Source organism: Homo sapiens, chromosome 19 (assembly GCF_000001405.40).
Source record: "Homo sapiens chromosome 19, GRCh38.p14 Primary Assembly".
Classification (NCBI taxonomy): Eukaryota; Metazoa; Chordata; class Mammalia; order Primates; family Hominidae; genus Homo; species Homo sapiens.
In genome coordinates, this window is record NC_000019.10 from 41,928,784 (window position 1) to 41,947,563 (window position 18,780).

General features: G+C 57.5%; 1 protein-coding gene across 6 annotated transcripts in view, besides 9 other annotated features; it reads left to right on the forward strand.

Moving 5' to 3' along the window:
• The window catches only part of ARHGEF1 (Rho guanine nucleotide exchange factor 1), a 46,958-nt gene extending 45,600 nt beyond the window's left edge, over window positions 1–1,358 (forward strand). For 4 of the 6 annotated variants that reach the window (NR_173092.1, NR_173095.1, NM_001396003.1 and 1 more), the window contains one exon: window positions 872–1,358. Coding sequence is in view for 2 of the 6 variants with exons in the window: in NM_001396003.1 (NP_001382932.1) it covers window positions 872–960 (89 nt within the window). In the remaining 4 variants the exon portion in view is untranslated. Of the gene's footprint in view, window positions 1–47; window positions 212–871 lie in introns of all 6 variants that reach the window. The other 2 variants (NR_173096.1, NR_135626.2) reach the window with 2 other exon arrangements.
• Window positions 63–563: an enhancer, noted in NCBI's record as "H3K4me1 hESC enhancer chr19:42432998-42433498 (GRCh37/hg19 assembly coordinates)". NCBI's record gives its function as "activates a minimal SCP1, AML or CMV promoter by ChIP-STARR-seq in primed H9 embryonic stem cells {active_cell/tissue: H9 hESC(primed)}" and the evidence as "EXISTENCE:reporter gene assay evidence [ECO:0000049][PMID:30033119]".
• Window positions 2,428–2,959: an enhancer, noted in NCBI's record as "OCT4-NANOG-H3K4me1 hESC enhancer chr19:42435363-42435894 (GRCh37/hg19 assembly coordinates)". NCBI's record gives its function as "activates a minimal SCP1, AML or CMV promoter by ChIP-STARR-seq in naive H9 embryonic stem cells {active_cell/tissue: H9 hESC(naive)}" and the evidence as "EXISTENCE:reporter gene assay evidence [ECO:0000049][PMID:30033119]".
• Window positions 6,072–6,571: an enhancer, noted in NCBI's record as "H3K4me1 hESC enhancer chr19:42439007-42439506 (GRCh37/hg19 assembly coordinates)". NCBI's record gives its function as "activates a minimal SCP1, AML or CMV promoter by ChIP-STARR-seq in primed H9 embryonic stem cells {active_cell/tissue: H9 hESC(primed)}" and the evidence as "EXISTENCE:reporter gene assay evidence [ECO:0000049][PMID:30033119]".
• Window positions 8,824–8,893: an enhancer, noted in NCBI's record as "active region_14691". NCBI's record gives its function as "activates an Ori minimal core promoter by ATAC-STARR-seq in GM12878 lymphoblastoid cells {active_cell/tissue: GM12878}" and the evidence as "EXISTENCE:reporter gene assay evidence [ECO:0000049][PMID:35858748]".
• Window positions 8,914–8,983: an enhancer, noted in NCBI's record as "active region_14692". NCBI's record gives its function as "activates an Ori minimal core promoter by ATAC-STARR-seq in GM12878 lymphoblastoid cells {active_cell/tissue: GM12878}" and the evidence as "EXISTENCE:reporter gene assay evidence [ECO:0000049][PMID:35858748]".
• Window positions 11,461–11,520: a silencer, noted in NCBI's record as "silent region_10677". NCBI's record gives its function as "represses an Ori minimal core promoter by ATAC-STARR-seq in GM12878 lymphoblastoid cells {active_cell/tissue: GM12878}" and the evidence as "EXISTENCE:reporter gene assay evidence [ECO:0000049][PMID:35858748]".
• Window positions 11,581–11,660: a silencer, noted in NCBI's record as "silent region_10678". NCBI's record gives its function as "represses an Ori minimal core promoter by ATAC-STARR-seq in GM12878 lymphoblastoid cells {active_cell/tissue: GM12878}" and the evidence as "EXISTENCE:reporter gene assay evidence [ECO:0000049][PMID:35858748]".
• Window positions 16,026–16,135: an enhancer, noted in NCBI's record as "active region_14693". NCBI's record gives its function as "activates an Ori minimal core promoter by ATAC-STARR-seq in GM12878 lymphoblastoid cells {active_cell/tissue: GM12878}" and the evidence as "EXISTENCE:reporter gene assay evidence [ECO:0000049][PMID:35858748]".
• Window positions 16,586–16,635: an enhancer, noted in NCBI's record as "active region_14694". NCBI's record gives its function as "activates an Ori minimal core promoter by ATAC-STARR-seq in GM12878 lymphoblastoid cells {active_cell/tissue: GM12878}" and the evidence as "EXISTENCE:reporter gene assay evidence [ECO:0000049][PMID:35858748]".

The window sequence follows — 18,780 nt, forward strand, 5'->3', positions numbered from 1 at the left end:
CCCCCTCCTCTCCCCTTCCCTTCTCCTCCGCCCCGCTCCTCCCTAAGTGGACGCGCGGACAAACGGACAGGCGCGAGGTGGAGGTGGCGACGATGCGTCCAGGACCCCTGCTGGACACGCAAGCCTGGACCGGGACTGGAACACGGACCCGCACACACGCAGCCTGGATAGGAGATACACGGACAGAGGGACATATGGATACAGTAAGACAGTGCAAACACACACTCAGGGACACACAACCCTACAGAGAGACAGACACAGACACACACACACAGACCTGCCATCTATACACGCAGCACACACATGCGGACCGTAATACAGGAAGTGGAAACACAACCGGTACACGGAGACATTCAGGCACACACAGAGAAACATATGCACAAACACAGCCTGCACACCACACCTTCCCCAACCCACAGCCACTCCCTGATCCACTGACCCACAAACTGGACACAAAGACAACCAGATGCACACACAGCCACACTCCACTCCCAACACACAGCCTGGACACACAAGCCCTCACTAACACATAGGCAGAACCCAGGGCTGGCACACTGACACTCCCCTTCACACTCCCACAAGGTCACAGGCACACACACGCACACCTACAGTGACAGGAAAGGGCCCTGCCCAGCCAGATCTGCTCCCATTGAAATAACAAGTCAATATCGACCAGCCTCAGGGCGGGTCAGACCCACAGTTCAGCTCCCGGCCGGCCGGACCTCCTGGCCCAACCTGACCCTCACCCTCACTGTCTACCCTCCTATTCCCTCCCTTGCCCCTTGCCCCTCGCCCCTTGCCCCTCACCCTGCCCTCTCTCCCGCTTCCACTCCCCAACCCACCACCCCCGACTTTTCTCTCCCATTCCCAGGTCAGGCTCCGCCCCGCCAAGTCCCACACCACCTTCTCTGGGGAAAGGCAGCTCTCACCTGGGCAGCCCCTGGAGGCTTCTACCCCTAGAGGGGAAAATAGGTCTCACGGCAAGACAGCAGTCCCCAGGTGGATATTCAGGGGCCAGGACAGCTCTGTCGGATCTCACCAACCCCACCAGCGCCCAGGTGCTGAGACCGAGGTGCTGAGAGGCTAGAAGAGAACTTCAGCCCTGCCTGACAGAGAAGGTTCAGCCTCACTCCCGCTCACCACTCACTCAGGCAAGTCGCTAAACATCCCCGAGCCTCAAGTTTCCTCATCTGCAAAATGGGACAATAATGACCTCCCTCCTAGAGTGGTTGGGAAGGTTAAACCGCAGGGCGCATGGAGCACAGCTGGTACTGCACCAAGTACCAAGTAAACACGCATTTGCTGTGAGCTTGCTGCTTCCGAATAATCTCATTAAAAATATTAAGAATTTTGCCAGATAACAAGAATTCCTTCACTTGTCTGTACCTTCACTTGTCTGAAAGGGAACATTCTTTCAAGGAGCCAACAGGCTTCACTGGGCTCCATTTACGACCCTTTCCCCCAGAGCCATGGTTCTCTGGGTGTCCATAACAGCCCCGGGACTGTCCACAGCCTACTTGAACACAGGTCACCAGCTACAGTGTTTGTGCATATGTTTCTGTGCGTGTGCCTGAATGTCTCCATGTACGGGTCGTGTGTTCCCACTTCCTGTATTACGGTATGCACGTGTGTGCTGCGTGTGTAGATGGCAGGTCTGTGTATGTGTATCTGTGTCTATCTCTGAGTTTATCTGTAACACCCAGCACACTACAGAGAGCATTCCCCCTCTACACCCAGCACACTACAGAGCCCCCTCTTGGCTCTGAAAGCCAAGGAGGAGGTTCCGGAACACCCTCTGGAAGGCAGGACTCCTCCCACACAGGACACCCTTTGGGAGAAAGGTGACACCCTCTGGGTAGATATGACTCCTTGGCTACACCCTTCAAGAGAGCTGGGACACCATTAAGGCTTCAAGTACACCAACTGGAATGCATTTCATGACCATTAAACCCCTGTGAAGAGGGACAGAACACCTTCTAAGCAGAAAGAGCTCAATTGACTGTAGATAACACCCTTCAGTAAGATAGGACATCCTCTGGAGAGATACAGTTTATCACACCATACACGACACCCTACTGGAAAATAGAACATCTTTGGAATGTGAGGGACAGACACCCTTAAGATAGCAAAGACCATCAGTCAATAGGGCTTTAAGACTTTATCTCTAAACCACGCCCCTCTGGGAGACAGGAAAACGTCCCCAGGTGTCAGAAACACCTGGACTGTAATGTTAACACCTTTGAGGGTCTTGCAATGCCCAATCAGAGGGTGGGGAGGACCCCCCAAGGAGAGCTCTGATGCTCTTGGGGCTGGGGTTGGGGGGGCCAGGACCCATTGCCTTGTGCATCCCACACACCGGTAGGAATGGGAACAGCACCCGTCTGACTGTTTAGAACACCCTCAGCACCCCCCACCCCCAGAAGACACCGTCTTGATTTCTGGAACACCTCTGGGGGCTGTGCATTTTGGAGTAATTTATGCTCCCTCTCTGAGTCCTAGGGTTCGGGAGGATTTGTGAAAAGGAGACCAGAGCGTGCAGCGCTGTGTAAGGCACATAGTAGGTGCTCAGTGAAAGAGACCCCTCACTGCACAGCACGCCCGCGGCCGGCAGGGGCACACGTTCCCTCGTTAGCAGTGTTGCCAACTCTGCCTACTTGGCTGAAGGAAGCGTCTCACAGGAGGGGGATCGTTAAGCTGTACTTAACATCCCCAGGGAGGCTGCAGCAGCAGAAGACTGTAGTTAATACCCCACTGAGAGAGGACGCCCTCAGGGTGTTTAATGCCCCCTAGGAGAGAGGGAGACAGAGAGAGGGAGCAGGAGAATACCCTCACCAGCCTCTAACACCCAGTGGACTGAATTTATTACCCGTGAAGGAGAGAGCATACCTCTGGGGTCTGTAATATCCTCTAGACTCTTGAAACCCCCAAGAGCAAGAGGACCCCTCCGTGAGGGCTATCGGCTCTCTCGAGATTGCTTTTAACAAAGATGCCTCCTGGTGCAGCTGAAACCACTAAAGGTGACAGAGGGTGAAACCAGGAGCCCCCCACCCCAAGATTCCATCTCCTTAACTCTCTCCCCACCACTGCAGCCCTCCTGGAACCACAGGAACAAAAGGGAAGGTGGGGGTGGTGTGGGTAGGGGAGGTTGAATGGGGCCCAAATCCCAGCATGTCAATAGTCATGACAAGGACCATTTAATGGGATGTGCCTGGCAGTGGCCTAAACTCTATACACAGATTAACTCAAGCAAGTCTCACGGCACAACTCTAAGAGGTAGATGCTGTTATAAGCGTCACCCCCACTTTTACTGATGAGGAAACTGAGGCACAGAATCACTTGCCGGCTGTCACACAGCTAGTTAGTATTGGAAGGGGACCTGGAGCCAAGCAGCCTGGCCGAGGGGTCTGTGTTCTTAACCACCAGGCCACCCTGCCCTCCCCGCTGCCCCCATATTAGACTAGGAGCTTGCGCAGACAAGCGCCCTGCCTGCACGGCTCTGCGTCCTCCCAGAGCAGGGCCCACCCTACCACTGTGTCCTCTGGCTCAGTATGACCGCCCACCATCCCCGATCCCTCGGGGCTTGAGGCTCCCTGTGGGCAGGGCCTGTGCCTGATTCATCTCTGGGTCCCTGCTGAGGGCAAAGCCTAGCCCACAGGGCCTGGGGAGGAGGCAGGGAGGGAGGGAGAGGGGAGGAGGGAGGCAGGGAGAGGACGTTAAAGAGAGCAGGGAGGGAGGTGAGGAGAAAGCAGGCAGAGAGGGGCTGGGGAGAAGGACGGGGAGTCCCCGGGGAGCCGGGCCTGGAGCTGGGCCAAGCCACACTGCTGTGGATGTTGGGGAGAGCAGAGGGAATGGGGGAGTCCAGTCAGCTGGGAGAGGGGTGCAAACAAACAGCATGGCCACCCCTCCCTCACCCCACCCCTATCCCGGGTGGGAGAAGATGGACCGAGATGGGCCTGGAAGGTGAAGGATGAAGGCCCGGGACGAACAAGATGCAAGGAGGGCAGACAGACACAGGACAGATGGGAGCCAGGAGAGCACGGGGAGGCAGCCAGCCAGGGTGTGTGCCTGGGGGCGGGAATTCAGACAGACAGACAAGGGTGAGGGAAAGGATGGGCGAGGGTGTTGGAAGACTGGAGACAGATGTGGGGGCTGGTCCAGGAAAAGGACAGACAAACTTAGGGCTTGGGGCTGGGGCAGGAGGGACAGACAGACAGAAGGGGAGAGTGGCCAGGAAGGAGGGGAGGATGGACACAGGGCGTCTGCAGAATTGGTGGGCAGATGGACGGAGGGACGGGCCGTGCAGTGCAGCCGGCGGGGCCAGGGCCAGGCCGAGGGCGCGAGGTGGCAGCCGGCCCGGGGAGGCGGAGGCTGAGCGAGCGGTGGTGTTTGTGGAGCTGTCGGCTGCGGTGGAATTATGAAAAATAGCAGGCATCGGAGCCGGCCTTCAGCTTCGATTAGGGGAGATGGGACATGACAGGTGCGATCAATACGCAGCCGTTCTATAAAGTGTCAAGTAATGAATCAATTTCGACTAAATTTTCCATTTTTCAGAGGCCGTTCTCCGAGAGAAGAATATCCTCTTTTGTAAAGATATTATTATCGATTTCGGCGGCAATTTGACATCAGGGGTAGTTAATTCCACTCAGAATAAAATTGAAAACACTTGAGAGAGAAAAGAGAGAGGCGAAGAGTGAGACAGAGAGGGAAAGAGGGGGAGGGAGGGAGGGGCTGGGAGAGAGAGATGGATGGACAGAGAGACAGAGACAGGGAGACAGGAACAGACAGTGAGAGAGACGAGAGAGAGAAGAGAGATGCAGAGATGCAGAGACATGAAGAGAAACTTGGAGACTGCAAAGCCTAGAGTTATAGAGAGACACAGGGACATTCAGAGAGACTCAGAGAGCAGAGACACCCTAAGAAAGGGCGACAGAGAGACAAATTGAGAGTGGCTCAGAGAGAAAATCCCAGATGTTACTAACTGGCTACAGAGAAGCAAAGAAATGGACAAAGACAATTCAGAGAAAAAGACAGATGGAGGACTGGGCAGCAGAAACTGATGACACAGACAGACAGACAGACACACAGAAGTGAGAGGCTGAGAAACAGGAACTTAGGGAACTGGGGAGAGGGGCTGAAGGGTGTGCGGAGCATGAGCAACAGAGAAAAGCGAGCCTGGCAGAGGAGAGGCCAGAGAGGCAGAGTGGAGGGGTGGGGGGCAGAGGGTAGGAGAGGGGCCAAGAGGCTGAGAACCTGCCAGGAAGTGGGGAGGAAGGGGCAAGGGTGCCAGGAGAAGGGCAGAGGCTGAGGGTTTGGGGCTGAGGGCCAATCTGGAGATGAGAGTTTGGGGAGATCCTCCTGTCCTATCTACGCTGTCCCCAAAGTCAGTTGCCCTGAATGGGCAGAAGCTCAGCGTGTGTGTGTGTGTGTGTGTGTGTGTGTGTGTCCCTGAGATCTGGTGTGCATGTGTGTTGGCTGGTGTCTGTGTGTCCTTGCATGTTGACTGAATCCCATATCCCATTAGACGTTTGTGTTTCCTGGACACACACACAATCTGTTTGTGTCCCTGTCCGTGTGCCTGCACATGCTGTGGGTCCCTGGTCTCCCAGTCCCTTGGGTCTCAGCTGCAGGCAATGGTGACAACATTTCTGGTTAGTGCCTGTCAGTCCCCAGCTGAAATCTCCATTTATCCCTGAGCAGGTCACAGGCTGCCTGGGAGGAAGAGAGAGGAGGCGGGTAGAGGATAGGACCCCTGGGTTCTGAGAGAGATGACCCAGGACCTGTACTCCTGGGTCTGAGGGAGGATGGTCTCAGATCCTGGGCTCCTGGGTCTGAGGGAGGAGGGGCTGGGGATTGGACCCACTGGGTCTGAGGGAGGAGGAGCTGGGAGCCTGACTCCTGGGTCTGAGACAGGAGGGCCTGGGGGCCTGGACTCCTGGGTCTGAGGGAGGAGGGCCTGGGGACCTGGACTCCTGGGTCTGAGGAAGGAGGCTGCTGGGGGCCGGGACTCCTGGGTGTGAGGGAGGAGGGGCTGGGGGCCTAGACTCCTGGGTCTGAGGGAGGAGGGACTGGGGGCCTGGACTGCTGGGTCTGAGAGAGGAGGGGCTGGGAGCCTGGATTCCTGGGTCTGAGGGAGGAGGGAGTGGGGCTGGGACACCCCATGGACAGGATAGTCAGCAGACAAGTAAGTAACAGGGCTGGCTGGGAAGCCCCCGAGCCATCACCAGCCTCCCCTCCAGAAAAGCCTGTGCCTGCTGCCCCCTAGTGGACATGGAGATTAGGCCAGACCAGGGACAGGGAACTGACAGGTCAAGGAGGGAAGCCAGAGGCGCTGACCCAAGTGGGAGCAGAGACAGGGGAGAGGGAGAGAGAGAGGAGGGAAGAGAGAAGGAGGAGATGGGTGGACAGACAGGCGGACACAGACAGGGACAAAGATGAATAGAGAAGTGGGCTGGGGTCAGGCCGACAGGATTGAGGACTCGACCTTGGTGGAGAAGAAAGAGAGACCGGGGAGTGAGTTCAGGGCTAGAACTGGAGATGGACAGGGAAAGATGGAGGACACAGGGGGTCTGCAGCAGACGGCAGGCAGAGGGTGAGGGTGACAGAGAGACTCTTGGACAGACAGAGGCTGGGCTGGTGAGACCTGGGTACAGACAGTACAAGAGACAGGACAGGAGCCATATGGACAGATGGACAGTGACAGAGGGATGGGAGCTAGGTCTAAAGGAGGGAGAAAACCCAGAGAACAGGCAGCGAAGAGGACAGGTGGACAGGGACAAGGGCAGGCACTCATGGAGAGACAGACGGACATCGGAGGGAACCGCAGACACACCCAGAAGAAAGAGGTGGACAGAGAGAGAGAAAGAGAGACAGGTGGTCACACACAGAGAGACAGACGGATGCGGAGAAATCAGGGCTCCCCAAGCCAAGTGGACACCCGGAGATGAAGCAGAGAGCGGTATGTGGGGGGAGCCCGGAGCCCGGCGGGGATTCCAGGCTGAGGGGCTCCCTGTGGCAAAGCCTAGGAGAGTTGCTGGGGAACAGTCTCCCCTGGCCGGGGTCTCTGCCCGCCACCCCCTCCCAGGCTCCCCCCCCACCCGGCGGGCTGCCCGGCGGAGGCGACAGATTGAGCGATGAGACGCATTACGCACTTAATCCGCCTGATTGAATGTTTTGCTTTCGCCCAAATTGAAACATTAAACAACACGGGACGAGAAGAGGCGGCCGCAAATCACTCATGAAAGATTCATCTTCTCCCAGGCAGCCGCCACCGCCCGCCTCCAAGGCTGCCCGCCCCAGCCGGGAAGCCTCAGGGTGGGGGTGGGGGTGGGGCAGCACCCCTGCTCACTCTGGGGAGCCCCAGCCCTAGTGGTCTGGGGAAGTTCTTCCCACTGTCTCGCCTCAATCCTACAGGTGGTCTCAGAGACTAGAACCCTGGATCCCTCGGCCTTCCCTGGACAGCATGACCTTAGCCCTGTCCCTGTCCCTCTCTGGCTGGGGAATCCTTGCCCTCTCTGGGGTCCATCTCTCCAGTTACCTTCCTGGACCAGCCTGGACCTTTGGGACATGGAAGGGGCTGCTCAGAGTTGGGGGATGAGGTCTGGGAGCCTCCTCCCCGTGCAGTGGGGCTTTCTGGGTTCTTGATCCAAGAGTGGGGGTGGTGTCTGGGGGCTGAGTCAGAGGGAGGTGGCCGCTGTGTCAGGATCAGTGCAAATGGGCAGACAGGGAGTGTGTTCCCTGCCACTTGGGAGCTCAGTGTGTCTCTGTGTCTGCCTGCATATATGACTGTGTATCTTCTGTCTCGCTCTGCCCATGTTGGTGTAACTTGCTTTGCGATTGTCCCTGTGTCACTACACTCAGGTCTCGGTGACCCTGCGTGTGACGGTAACTCTGTGGGCTTGTGGGTATGTCTGTCTGCCTGTCTGGCACTTTCTGTATGTGCGTCCTGTGGGCAGCATTTTTGTGTGGTGTGTGTCTGTATCAGTGTGACTTTTGGGGTGTGGCTGTGTGTGACTCCCTGTGTGTAAGTCTGTGGATGACTGTGTGCCGTGTCTGTCTGTCTGTCTGTGTGTTGCCTGCTCTGGGTCTGTCTGCAGGTCTGTGTTGAACTATTTCTGTGTCTGGGTCTCTTTTCTGCATCCGCATGTCCCTGTGTCTCTTTCAGCCTCTGTCTCTGTCTCTGCCTGAGGGGGCACCTGCTGGGGCCACTAGAGGAAGGCCTGGGTGCGGAGAAGCTGGGGAGAGAGGAGGCAAGAAAGACGGAGAGACAGGACAGCGGTGACGCCTGAGAACCAGGGAGCAGGGAGCAAGCGCGAGGGAGCTGGGGGGGCCGTTGTGGGCGCCACGGCCGGAGTGGGTGATCAATATTCGATTTAGGTTTTAATTCCGGGGCTTTTGGAGCCTGTCAGCCCTGATGTATGAGCTCACACTGGGGCCGCCCAGCCAGCCACCCCACCAGTGCCCATGGCCTGGTGGCCTGTCCTGGGCTCCCTGGCCCTGCCGGCGGTGGACTATAGGAGAGGGGGGAAGGGGAGAGGGGCCCAGTGAACTTGAGCTTGGTCCCTTGCCCACCCAGTGCACCTATGGCCCCTGCTCCTGCCTGGCCTGCCAAGCAAGGGGCCCCTAGAGGTCCTCAAACACCTGGTCGGGTCCCACAGCCTGCCTGTCTGCATGGACCTCATGTTCAGACACACACATAGCTCTGGGCTCATATATGCCTGTGCCCATGCAAACTCTAACACATACACCCCGGGTTCAAACACACATGTGCACACACAAGCCACCATGCATCTCCTCTGACATACATGTGTGTCCACATACAAACTCTGACACACATACGTGGTCCACACACATAACCCCAACGCATAGACACATAAAAGCACCACATGAACCGGAGGTGGGAACCCTGGGGACACAGCATTCTGGCAAGAGAGGCAAGAGACGGAGACACAGAAACTCAGACGGGCTAACAGTGAGAGATGAGAGAGACGGACCAGTGAAGAGCTCAGAGAAGAGCTTGAGAGTGGGGACAGACGCGGAGAGCCCCCGAGGGGAGGTTGGAGGCCACAGGGCAGAGCAGTGGACAGGGCTCAGCAGTGAGGGGGATGGGAGCCCCCCCAAACCCTGTCTCTTTCTCAGGAAGATGGATCCACCGCCCTCCCTGATGACAATGCTGTCTGCGCAAACTTTAATTAACACTTTGAGTTAATTAGTTCGAGATCATTTAGGAGTAAAATGTTTTTATTAGGGAGGCTGCGAGCCTGTTGATGGATGGGGCGCGATTCGCTCTTCCGCCTGCGGGGACAGCCGGTAAACAGAAATCAATCAGGGGCCTCCCAACCCAGCCCCCCCAGAGCCAAGCTCCCAGCCTAGAGCCCAGGAGTGGAGGCTCCCAGCCTCCTCCTTCCCCCAGGCCCCAGATTTCAGGCCCCAGCCCCTCCTCCCTCAGACCCAGGAGTCTAAAACCCCAGCTTCCTCTTCCCCCAAGACCTACGAGTCCAGGCTCCCAGCCCCTCCTCCATTAGGCTCACGAATCCAAGCCCCCAGCAGTCTCTTCCCTCAGACCCAGGAGTCCAGGCACCCCTGCAGCCTCCTCCCTCAGACCCAGGAGTCCAGGCCCCCAGCAGCCTCCTCCCTCAGTCTCATGAGCCCAGGCCCCAGCCTCTCCTCCCTCAGACCCAGGAGTCCATGCCCCCAGCCTCTCCTCCCTCAGACCCAGGAGTCCAGGCCCCCAGCCCCTCCTCCCTCAGACCCAGGAGTCCAGGCCCCCAGCCCCTCCTCCCTCAGACCCAGGAGTCCAGGCCCCCAGCCCCTCCTCCCTCAGACCCAGGAGTCCAGGCCCCCCAGCCCTTCCTTCCTCAGACCCAGGAGTCCAGGCCCCCCAGACCTTCCTCTCCCAGACCCAGGAGTCCAGGCCCCCAGCAGCCTCCTCCCTCAGACCCAGGAGTCCAGGCCCCCAGCAGCCTCCTCCCTCAGTCTCATGAGTCCAGGCCCCAGCCTCTCCTCCCTCAGACCCAGGAGTCCAGGCCCCCAGCAGCCTCCTCCCTCAGTCTCATGAGTCCAGGCCCCAGCCTCTCCTCCCTCAGACCCAGGAGTCCAGGCCCCAAGCCCTCCTCCCTCAGACCCAGGAGTCCAGGCCCCCAGCCCCTCCTCCCTCAGACCCAGGAGTCCAGGCCCCAGCCTCTCCTCCCTCAGACCCAGGAGTCCAGGCCCCCAGCCCCTCCTCCCTCAGACCCAGGAGTCCAGGCCCCCCGCGTCTCCTCCCTCAGACCCAGGAGTCCAGGCCCCCAGCCCCTCCTCCCTCAGACCCAGGAGTCCAGGCCCCCAGCCCCTCCTCCCTCAGACCCAGGAGTCCAGGCCCCCAGCCCCTCCTCCCTCAGACCCAGGAGTCCAGGCCCCCAGCCCTTCCTTCCTCAGACCCAGGAGTCCAGGCCCCCCAGACCTTCCTCTCCCAGACCCAGGAGTCCAGGCACCCCTGCAGCCTCCTCCCTCAGACCCAGGAGTCCAGGCCCCCAGCAGCCTCCTCCCTCAGACCCAGGAGTCCAGGCCCCCAGCAGCCTCCTCCCTCAGTCTCATGAGTCCAGGCCCCAGCCTCTCCTCCCTCAGACTCAGGAGTCCAGGCCCCCAGTAGCCTCCTCCCTCAGTCTCATGAGTCCAGGCCCCAGCCTCTCCTCCCTCAGACCCAGGAGTCCAGGCCCCAAGCCCTCCTCCCTCAGACCCAGGAGTCCAGGCCCCCAGCCCCTCCTCCCTCAGACCCACTAGTCCAGGCCCCAGCCTCTCCTCCCTCAGACCCAGGAGTCCAGGCCCCCAGCCCCTCCTCCCTCAGACCCAGGAGTCCAGGCCCCCAGCCCCTCCTCCCTCAGACCCAGGAGTCCAGGCCCCCAGCCCCTCCTCCCTCAGACCCGAGTCCAGGCCCCCAGCCCCTCCTCCCTCAGACCCAGGAGTCCAGGCCCCCAGGCCCTCCTTCCTCAGACCCAGGAGTCCAGGCCCCCAGCCCCTCCTCCCTCAGACCCAGGAGTCCAGGCCACCCCAGTTTCCTCCTTCAGACCCATGAGTCCAGGTCCCTGCCTCTCCTGGTCCCAGCTTGGTCGGGAGTCCACTTCTGTCGCAGGACCCGGCTTCCGGGCCCCCACCTCTAACCTCCCTCGGATGCCTGAAAACCCTGCCTGGTCCTCCGGGCAGCCGCCCCCCTCTCCCACCCGCGCCGGCCTCTTGGACACAGCACTAGGGTCGGATTCACAGTTGGGAGCTCCCTCGGCTGCGGGTCAGACCCTCCCCTCCACTCCCTCTCGAGGACCCTGACTCCGCGGCCCCGGAACTGTCTTCTCGCCGCCCCTCGGCGTCTCTGCGCGCCTGTCTCATCGGGTCTCGGCCGAGAGACGTCTCGGGCGTCCCCTTCCCCCGCGGTGACGGCTTCATCAGGTGTCCGCGCGGGCGGGGGCAGGGCGAGGCCTGGCGGGCGCGGGGAGCCCGGGGGCGGAGGGGCGGGGGTTCCGGGGCCGATAAATCTTCATCAGGCGGCGGCGGGGGGGCCATTAGGCGCTAATGGGAAGATGGAGGGGCCTGTCGGCCGCGCGGGCCGGGCCTCATTTGTCCTGCTTCCCGCTCCATTGGCCGCTGCCCCCGCCCCGCCCCTCCCCCGCCGCCGCGCGCCCCATTTCCGCTTCAAACCTTTGGAGGGGACGTGGGGGGGATCCCGGGGGCTGCTGAAAAAGAGGCGACTGGAAGGCAGGGACAGATTCAGGAAAGGGGAGGGGGCTCAGGGCATGGAGGGGAAGGGGGTTCGGTCGCAGAGCCAGTTTAGAACGTGGGTGGCTCAGCTAGAACGCAGGCGGAGTGGGCAGGAGAACGTGGCGGGGAGGGCTTGGAACGCGGAGAACGTGAATAGAAGTCCCCGAAGGAAAAGAGAAAGCGGGAGGGGGCCGTCGGGGACGCGAGAGGGGACTTGGAAGATGGGAGTGGCGGGGACTGGAACAAGGCGGGAGTGGGTGCAGGATTGGAATTAGGGGAGGGGGTCGGATCGCCGGCCCCAGCCTCCAAGGGCGGGGATCCGGGAAGGCGAGGGGGCGGCGTCCCCCGAGGCAGAAAGCGCGGACCCCGCCTGTCGCCGCCGCCGCCGCCCGCTCCCGGACTCGCGCCCCCCGCGCGTCCACTCTGATTTCTCGGCCCATTTTTCTTCCTCTCCTGTCACTCCGGCGCTCGCCCTCCCGCCGCCGGCTGCCCCGCCGCGCTCCGCTTCCCGCGGGAACCCCCGCTGCAGCCAGCCCCGGGGGCTCAGCCGGCTCCGCGCAGCAGCGCCCCCACCCCCACCACGCCTGGCCCCGATCAGTCCCCACCAGGACCACCTATTTCCCCAAGTCGGTCACCCACAAATGGACTGCCTCCCCGAACACCCCCAGGAGAGGCCCCGCCTTGGGGGGTAGCACTGGGGTTGGCTCCCCCAGCCCCTGGGACTAGATCCCTAGGACCTCAGGACCCTAGACTGAGATTCCCCCAAAGGAGGCATCTAGATACCCACAAACCAGGCCTTCGAACCCCTACCCTCCCTCTGAAGCCCTCACATGGACTGAAGACCCCTGGGATCAGACCTAGACATGGGCCTGGATCACCCCAGGCGGAGCGAATGGCTACCCCGACTCACAAACAGAAGGTGATAACCCAGCCTAGCTCCAGACAGCCCAAAATGAGGATTCTGGGGCCCAGCTCCATTCACCCCCAAACAAGTCCTCCAGCCCAAGACACTCAGAGAATAAGGGAAATGGACCTTAGCTCAGTCACCCCAAAATAAGCATCAGTAACCACAAGCCCCCCCCAAACTAGGCATGTATTCCCCATACTGTCACCCCCAAATTAGACGTTGGGGCCCCAAATTTGGCACACCTAAACTAGACTTTCCTCATTAAACCTCATCAGGACCCCAAGATACACCACCCACGATCTACAAAAGTAGGCCCCAGCTGCTATCACCCACTCAGCATGTGACCCCATTCTCAACACATACAAACTAGAAAATGGGACTGAAATTCAAACACCCTTAAACTGGGCAACCCCAAATGTGACAACTGGATCCTCAGACTCAAGTCAAAATGAGGATCTGGGCCTCACCCACCCTAAGGCTCCCCCAAACTAGACATCTGGCTCTCCAGACTCAGTTTCCACTAAACCAAGGAACCTCCGAAATGCCCCAGCAAGTCACCTTAACACTAGTCATGTAGGTCTCTACGTAGCATCACCCCTAAACCTTGCATCCAGACCCAATCATTGGTCACCCTAACCTATGCATGTGGACAACCAACTTTTTTTTTTTTTTTTTTGAGACGGAGTCTCCCTGTCGCCCAGGCTGGAGTGCAGTGGTGCGATCTCAGCTCACTGCAAGCTCCACCTCCTGGGTTCACGCCATTGTCCTGCCTCAGCCTCCTGAGCAGCTGGGACTACAGGTGCCCACCACCACGCCTGGCTATTTATTTATTTATATATTTATTTTTGAGACAGAGTCTTGCTCTGTCACCCAGGCTGGAGTGCAGTGGTGTGATCTCGGCTCACTGCAAGCTCCGCCTCCCGGGTTCATGCCATTCTCCTGCCTCAGCCTCCCGAATAGCTGGGACTACAGGCGCCCACCACCACACCTGGCTAATTTTTTTGTATTTTTAGTAGAGACGGGGTTTCACCGTGTTAGCCAGGATGGTCTCCATCTCCTGACCTCGTGATCCACCCGCCTCGGCCTCCCAAAGTGCTGGGATTACAGGCATGAGCCACCGCACCTGGCCTTTTTTTTTTTTTTTTTTTTTTTTTAAAGACAGGGTCTTGCTCTCTTGCCCAGGCTGGAGCTGGAGTGGCATGATCTCGGCTTACTATAGCCTCGACCTCCCAGGCTCAAGTGATCCTCCTGCCTCAGCCTCCCAAGTAACTGGGACAACAGGTATGAGCCACCACTCCTGGTCGACCAGCAGCTTTAGAAGCCCCCCAACTTGGCACCTGGAATTCCAGCATCACCTGCCCTTACAATACACATCTGAGCTTTCACCCCCACTCATAAGAGTTAGAGACCCCTCTAAGTTACCCCACGAACTCAGCATCTAGCCTCCCAACCTCAGACACCCCCAAAGTTAGGAGGACTCTGTGGCACTGAAGCTCAGATCTCCAAACTACCCCTTTTGTCCCCAAACTTCAGTCACCCTACACTAAGCACCCCATAGGCTGTTACCCCCAGAAGTAGGCAAGTCAAGAACCCCCAAATCAGGTATGTGCAGCTGACCCTCAAGGTCAGTCTTCCTAATCCAAACACCAAGAAGCTCATAATCAGAGAGACCTGAACTTGGGATTTAGAGTACCTGCCTCAAACACCCTCATAGCAGGTTGGATGGTGGCCCCCCAAAAAGGTATGTCCACATCCTAACCCCAGAACCTGCTAATGTGACCTTACAGGAAGAGTCTATTCAGATGCAATTAAATGAAGGATCTTGAGATGGGATTATCCTGAGTTGCTGGGGTGGGCCCTCAATCCATGTTAAGGGACCTGGTAACAGACAAGAAGAGGCCGGACGCGGTGGTTTACACCTGTAATCCCAGCACTTTGGGAGGCCGAGGCAGGAGGATCCCTTGAGCCCAGGAGTTGGAGGCCAGCCTGAGTAGCATACCGAGACCTCACCTCTACAAAAATAAAATTAGCTAGGCATGGTGGTGCACGGCTTAGTCCCAGCTACTCGGGAGGCTGAAGCGGGAGGATCGCTTGAGTTTGGGAGATCAAGGCTGCAGTGAGCTGTGATGATACCACTGCACTCCAGTCTGGGTGACAGTGAGACCTCTTCACAAAAAAAAAAAAAGGTGGGGGGGCCGGGCACAGTGGCTCACACCTGTAATCCCAGCACTTTGGGAGGCCGAGGCATGCGGATCACAAGGTCAGGAGATCGAGACCATCCTGGTTAACAGGGTGAAACCCTGTCTCTACTAAAAATACAAGAAAAAAAAAATTAGCCGGGCGTGGTGGCAGGCGCCTGTAGTCCCAGCTACTTGGAAGGTTGAGGCAGGAGAATGGTGTGAACCCGGGAGGCGGAGCTTGCTGTGAGCTGAGATCGCGCCACTGCACTCCAGCCTGGGCGACAGAGCAAGCAAGACTGTCTAAAAAAAAAAAATCCGATTGAAGCCACTCCTAATTCAGGCATTGAGCCTCCCAGAGGATCTGAGTCTCTGTGTCAGTCACCCCTAACTAGGTATCTGGGTGATTAGCCTCAGACATTCCCACACTAAGGAACAACACCCCGGGCCGGGCACGGTGGCTCACGCCTGTAATCCCGGCACTTTGGGAGGCCAGGTGGGCGGATCACCTGAGGTCAGGAGTTCAAGACCAGCCTGGCCAACATGGTGAAACCCTGTCTCTACTAAAAATACAAAAATTAGTTGGGCATTATGGTGGGCGCCTGTAATCCCAGCTACTCAGGAGGCTGAGGCATGAGAATGGTTTGAACCAGGAGGCGGAGGTTGCAGTGAGCCGAGATCACACCACTGCACTCCACCCTGGGTGACAGAGCAAGACTCTGTCTCAAAAAAAAAAAAAAAAAAGGAACAACACCCCAAACTCCATCACCCCAAACTAGGTACAAATAACCACAAACCCTGGCAACTAGGTCTTGAGACTCAGTGAGCCCCAAATTGTATATAAATGTTAGGAACTCATAACTAGTAGCCCTCAAACCAGACATCTGGTTGCCTTCTCTTAATCTCCCAAAGATGGGCTTCTCATACACGAGAGTGACACCCCCAGGAGGCATCTGATGACACAACCCCAGCTTGGCACTGGATCTGCTGAGGGACATCTGGGCCCCAGCTGTCACCCCAGATTGATGTTCGGGCTCTCAGATGGTCATCCCAACCTCAACATCTGGGCAGCTGGGATTACACACTCCTAAACTAGACATCTGAATGTTTTGCCACAACTACCCACAATCTAAGGCATTTTGGATTTGAGCCCCAAACTTGGGCTCTGAACCACGCCCCCAGCCTCAGAACTCCCTAACTGAACATCATGGTAAGTCACTTCTATTTTGGATTTAGGGTCCCAGCCTTAATTTGTTCCCAGATTAGAATATAGGCCCACAGGCTGGGCGCAGTGGCTCACGCCTGTAATCCTAGCACTTTGGGAGGCCAAGGCAGGTGGAATGCCCAAGCTCAAGAGTTTGAGACCAGCCTGGGCAACACAGTGAAACCCTGTCTCTACTAAAATACAAAAAAATTAGCTGGGCATAGCAGCGTGCGCCTGTAGTCCCAGCTACTTGGGAGGCTGAGGCAGGAGAATTGTTTGAACCCAAGTCCCAGCTACTTGGGAGGCAGAGGTTGCAGTGAGCCAAGATCACGCCACTGCACTCCAGCCTGGGTGACAGAGCGAGACTCCATTTCCACAAAAAAAAAAGAATACAGGCCCACAGTTTCACTCACCCCTAAATTAACCTTCAGGGCCTCAAGGTCAGCAAAACCACAGCAAGTCACTCTCAAAATAGGCATCTGAGCTCCACAGCCACCCACCCACACACTTTGCATATAGCCTCCCAGTCTCAGATGTCCCCAAAACTAGGGCCTGGGGCACCCAGGCTCAGTGACCCCCAGACTAAGCAAGTGAGCTCCAAACTTCAGTCAGCCCTAAGGTAATCAGTAGGACCCCCAAATCAACATGTGGGCTGCCAACCTCGGTCACCGCTAAACCTCAAAACCAGTCACCCTAGACTTGACACCTGAGTCTCCGAACTGACTCACCCCAAACATGACAGGTGAAATGCCACAGGAAGTCACTTCTAATCTAGACAGTAGGCCCCCACTGTCGTCACTAATGTGGGTGTCAGTAGCCCCCATCCCCGGCCTCAGTGACGAAGCCACACAACTGCAGACATCTAGAGCTGGGTGTTGGGTGTCCCAAAACAGGAACAAGGGCTCACACGTGCCCAGAACTGGGCAGGAGGAACTCCAGGCACCCCAAATTCAGGATCTTGAGCCCCAGCATCCATCTTCTCAAAGTGAGAATCTGAGTCCTCAGTGTTAGTCACCCATAAACAATGCATCTTGACTACCACAACCAACCATTTGCCCCCAAACTAGGGTTTTTTTTTTTTGAGATAGGGTCTTGCTCTGTCACCCAGGCTGGAGTGCAATCATGGTGCAATCATGGCTCGCTGCAGCCTCAAACTCCTGGGCTCAAGAGGTCCTCCCTCAGCCTCCTGAATAGCTGGGACTGCAGGCAGTTGCCACTGTGCCCAGCTAATTTTTTTGTTTTTTGTTGTAGAGATGGGGTCTCACTATGTTGCCCAGGCTACTCTTGAACTCCTGCCCTCAAGGGATCCTCCCACCTTGGCGGGACTAGCTGGGACTACAGCCCAGCTAGTTTATTTTTATTTATTTTATTTTATTTTTTTTGGAGATGGAGTCTCGCTCTGTTGCCCAGAGCAAGTGGCGCAATGTTGGTTCACTGCAACCTCCACCTCCCAGGTTCAAGCGAATCTCCTGCCTCAGCCTCCCAAGTAGCTGGGATTATAGGCGCACACCACACCCCAGCTAATTTTTGTATCTTTAGTAGAGATGGGGTTTCACCATGTTGGCCAGGCTGGTCTTAAACTCTTGACCTCAGGCGATCTACCTGCCTCAGCCTCCCAAAGTGCTGGGATTACAAGCGTGAGCCACTGCACCCGGTCCAGACTAGGCTTTAGACCCACAGGATCCTCTTGTGTCCAGTAAAGGGCAGCTGGGTCTCCAGGGCCAGAAATCCCAAGGTTACCTGTGCCCCAGCCACAGCGACCCCTAGGCCAGGCATTAGAGCCTCAGTCTCCATCTTCCCCCAGGGGTCTCTATCACTGCCACCCACAGGTGTGGAGGTGCTTTGAAAACACTGGCCCTCCATGTCATAGACATGAAGCACTCCTCAAGTGGGTCCTGAGTCCTGGGGCCCTGACCTCTTGACACCTCCATTCCAAATACCCAGACTCCTAGCTTCAGTGACCTTCACACAAAGCTCCACACCGCTGGCCACACTCACTCAGAGACCCCACACCTGAGTACAGGAAACCCTTGACTCAGTTGTCCCAGGAACATTCAGGCATCAGCACTCTCAGGCTCAGCCATGTTTAGAAGGGACCAGCACCCTAGACTCTGCGCCCCAGACTAGAGGACTGAAATGACAGCTCCTGCCGCCCCAAGTCAAAACAGGCACCCCTCAGCCTCATCCCTCCAGCTGCACAACTATGCCCCAAGTCTCTGTCCCCCAAACTAGGAAGTCTCTGCCACCCAGAACTGGGAAACTGTATCTCCATCTCTGTTACCCCAAGGCCGGGCCTTGACTTCTGGTCTCATCACCCCAAACTAGACCACTGATCCCAGTCTCTGCCTCCCCCAAATGGACAACTGAACCCCAATCACTGTCAGCTCAAACTGGACAAAAGGACCCCAGTCACTGTCACCCCAAACTAGAAAGCAAGACCAGTAGTCTCTGTCACCCCAAACATGACATGGATGAGTAATGTCTGGCACATCAAGATAGACAACAAGACCTAAACTGTCACCAGAAATTGGCAAGTGGATGAGCCCAGGAGTTCGAGATCAGCCTAGGCAACATAGTGGGACCCTGTCTCTATCAAAACAACACAAAACAAAATAAATTAGCTGGGCATGGTGGCACGTCCCAGGAGGCCTAGGTGGGACTTGAGCCCGGGGAGGTCAAGGCCACAGTGAGCCATGATTGCGCTACCTCACTCCTGCTTGGGCAACAGAGTAAGACCCTGTCTCAAAAATAAAATGAAATAAAAT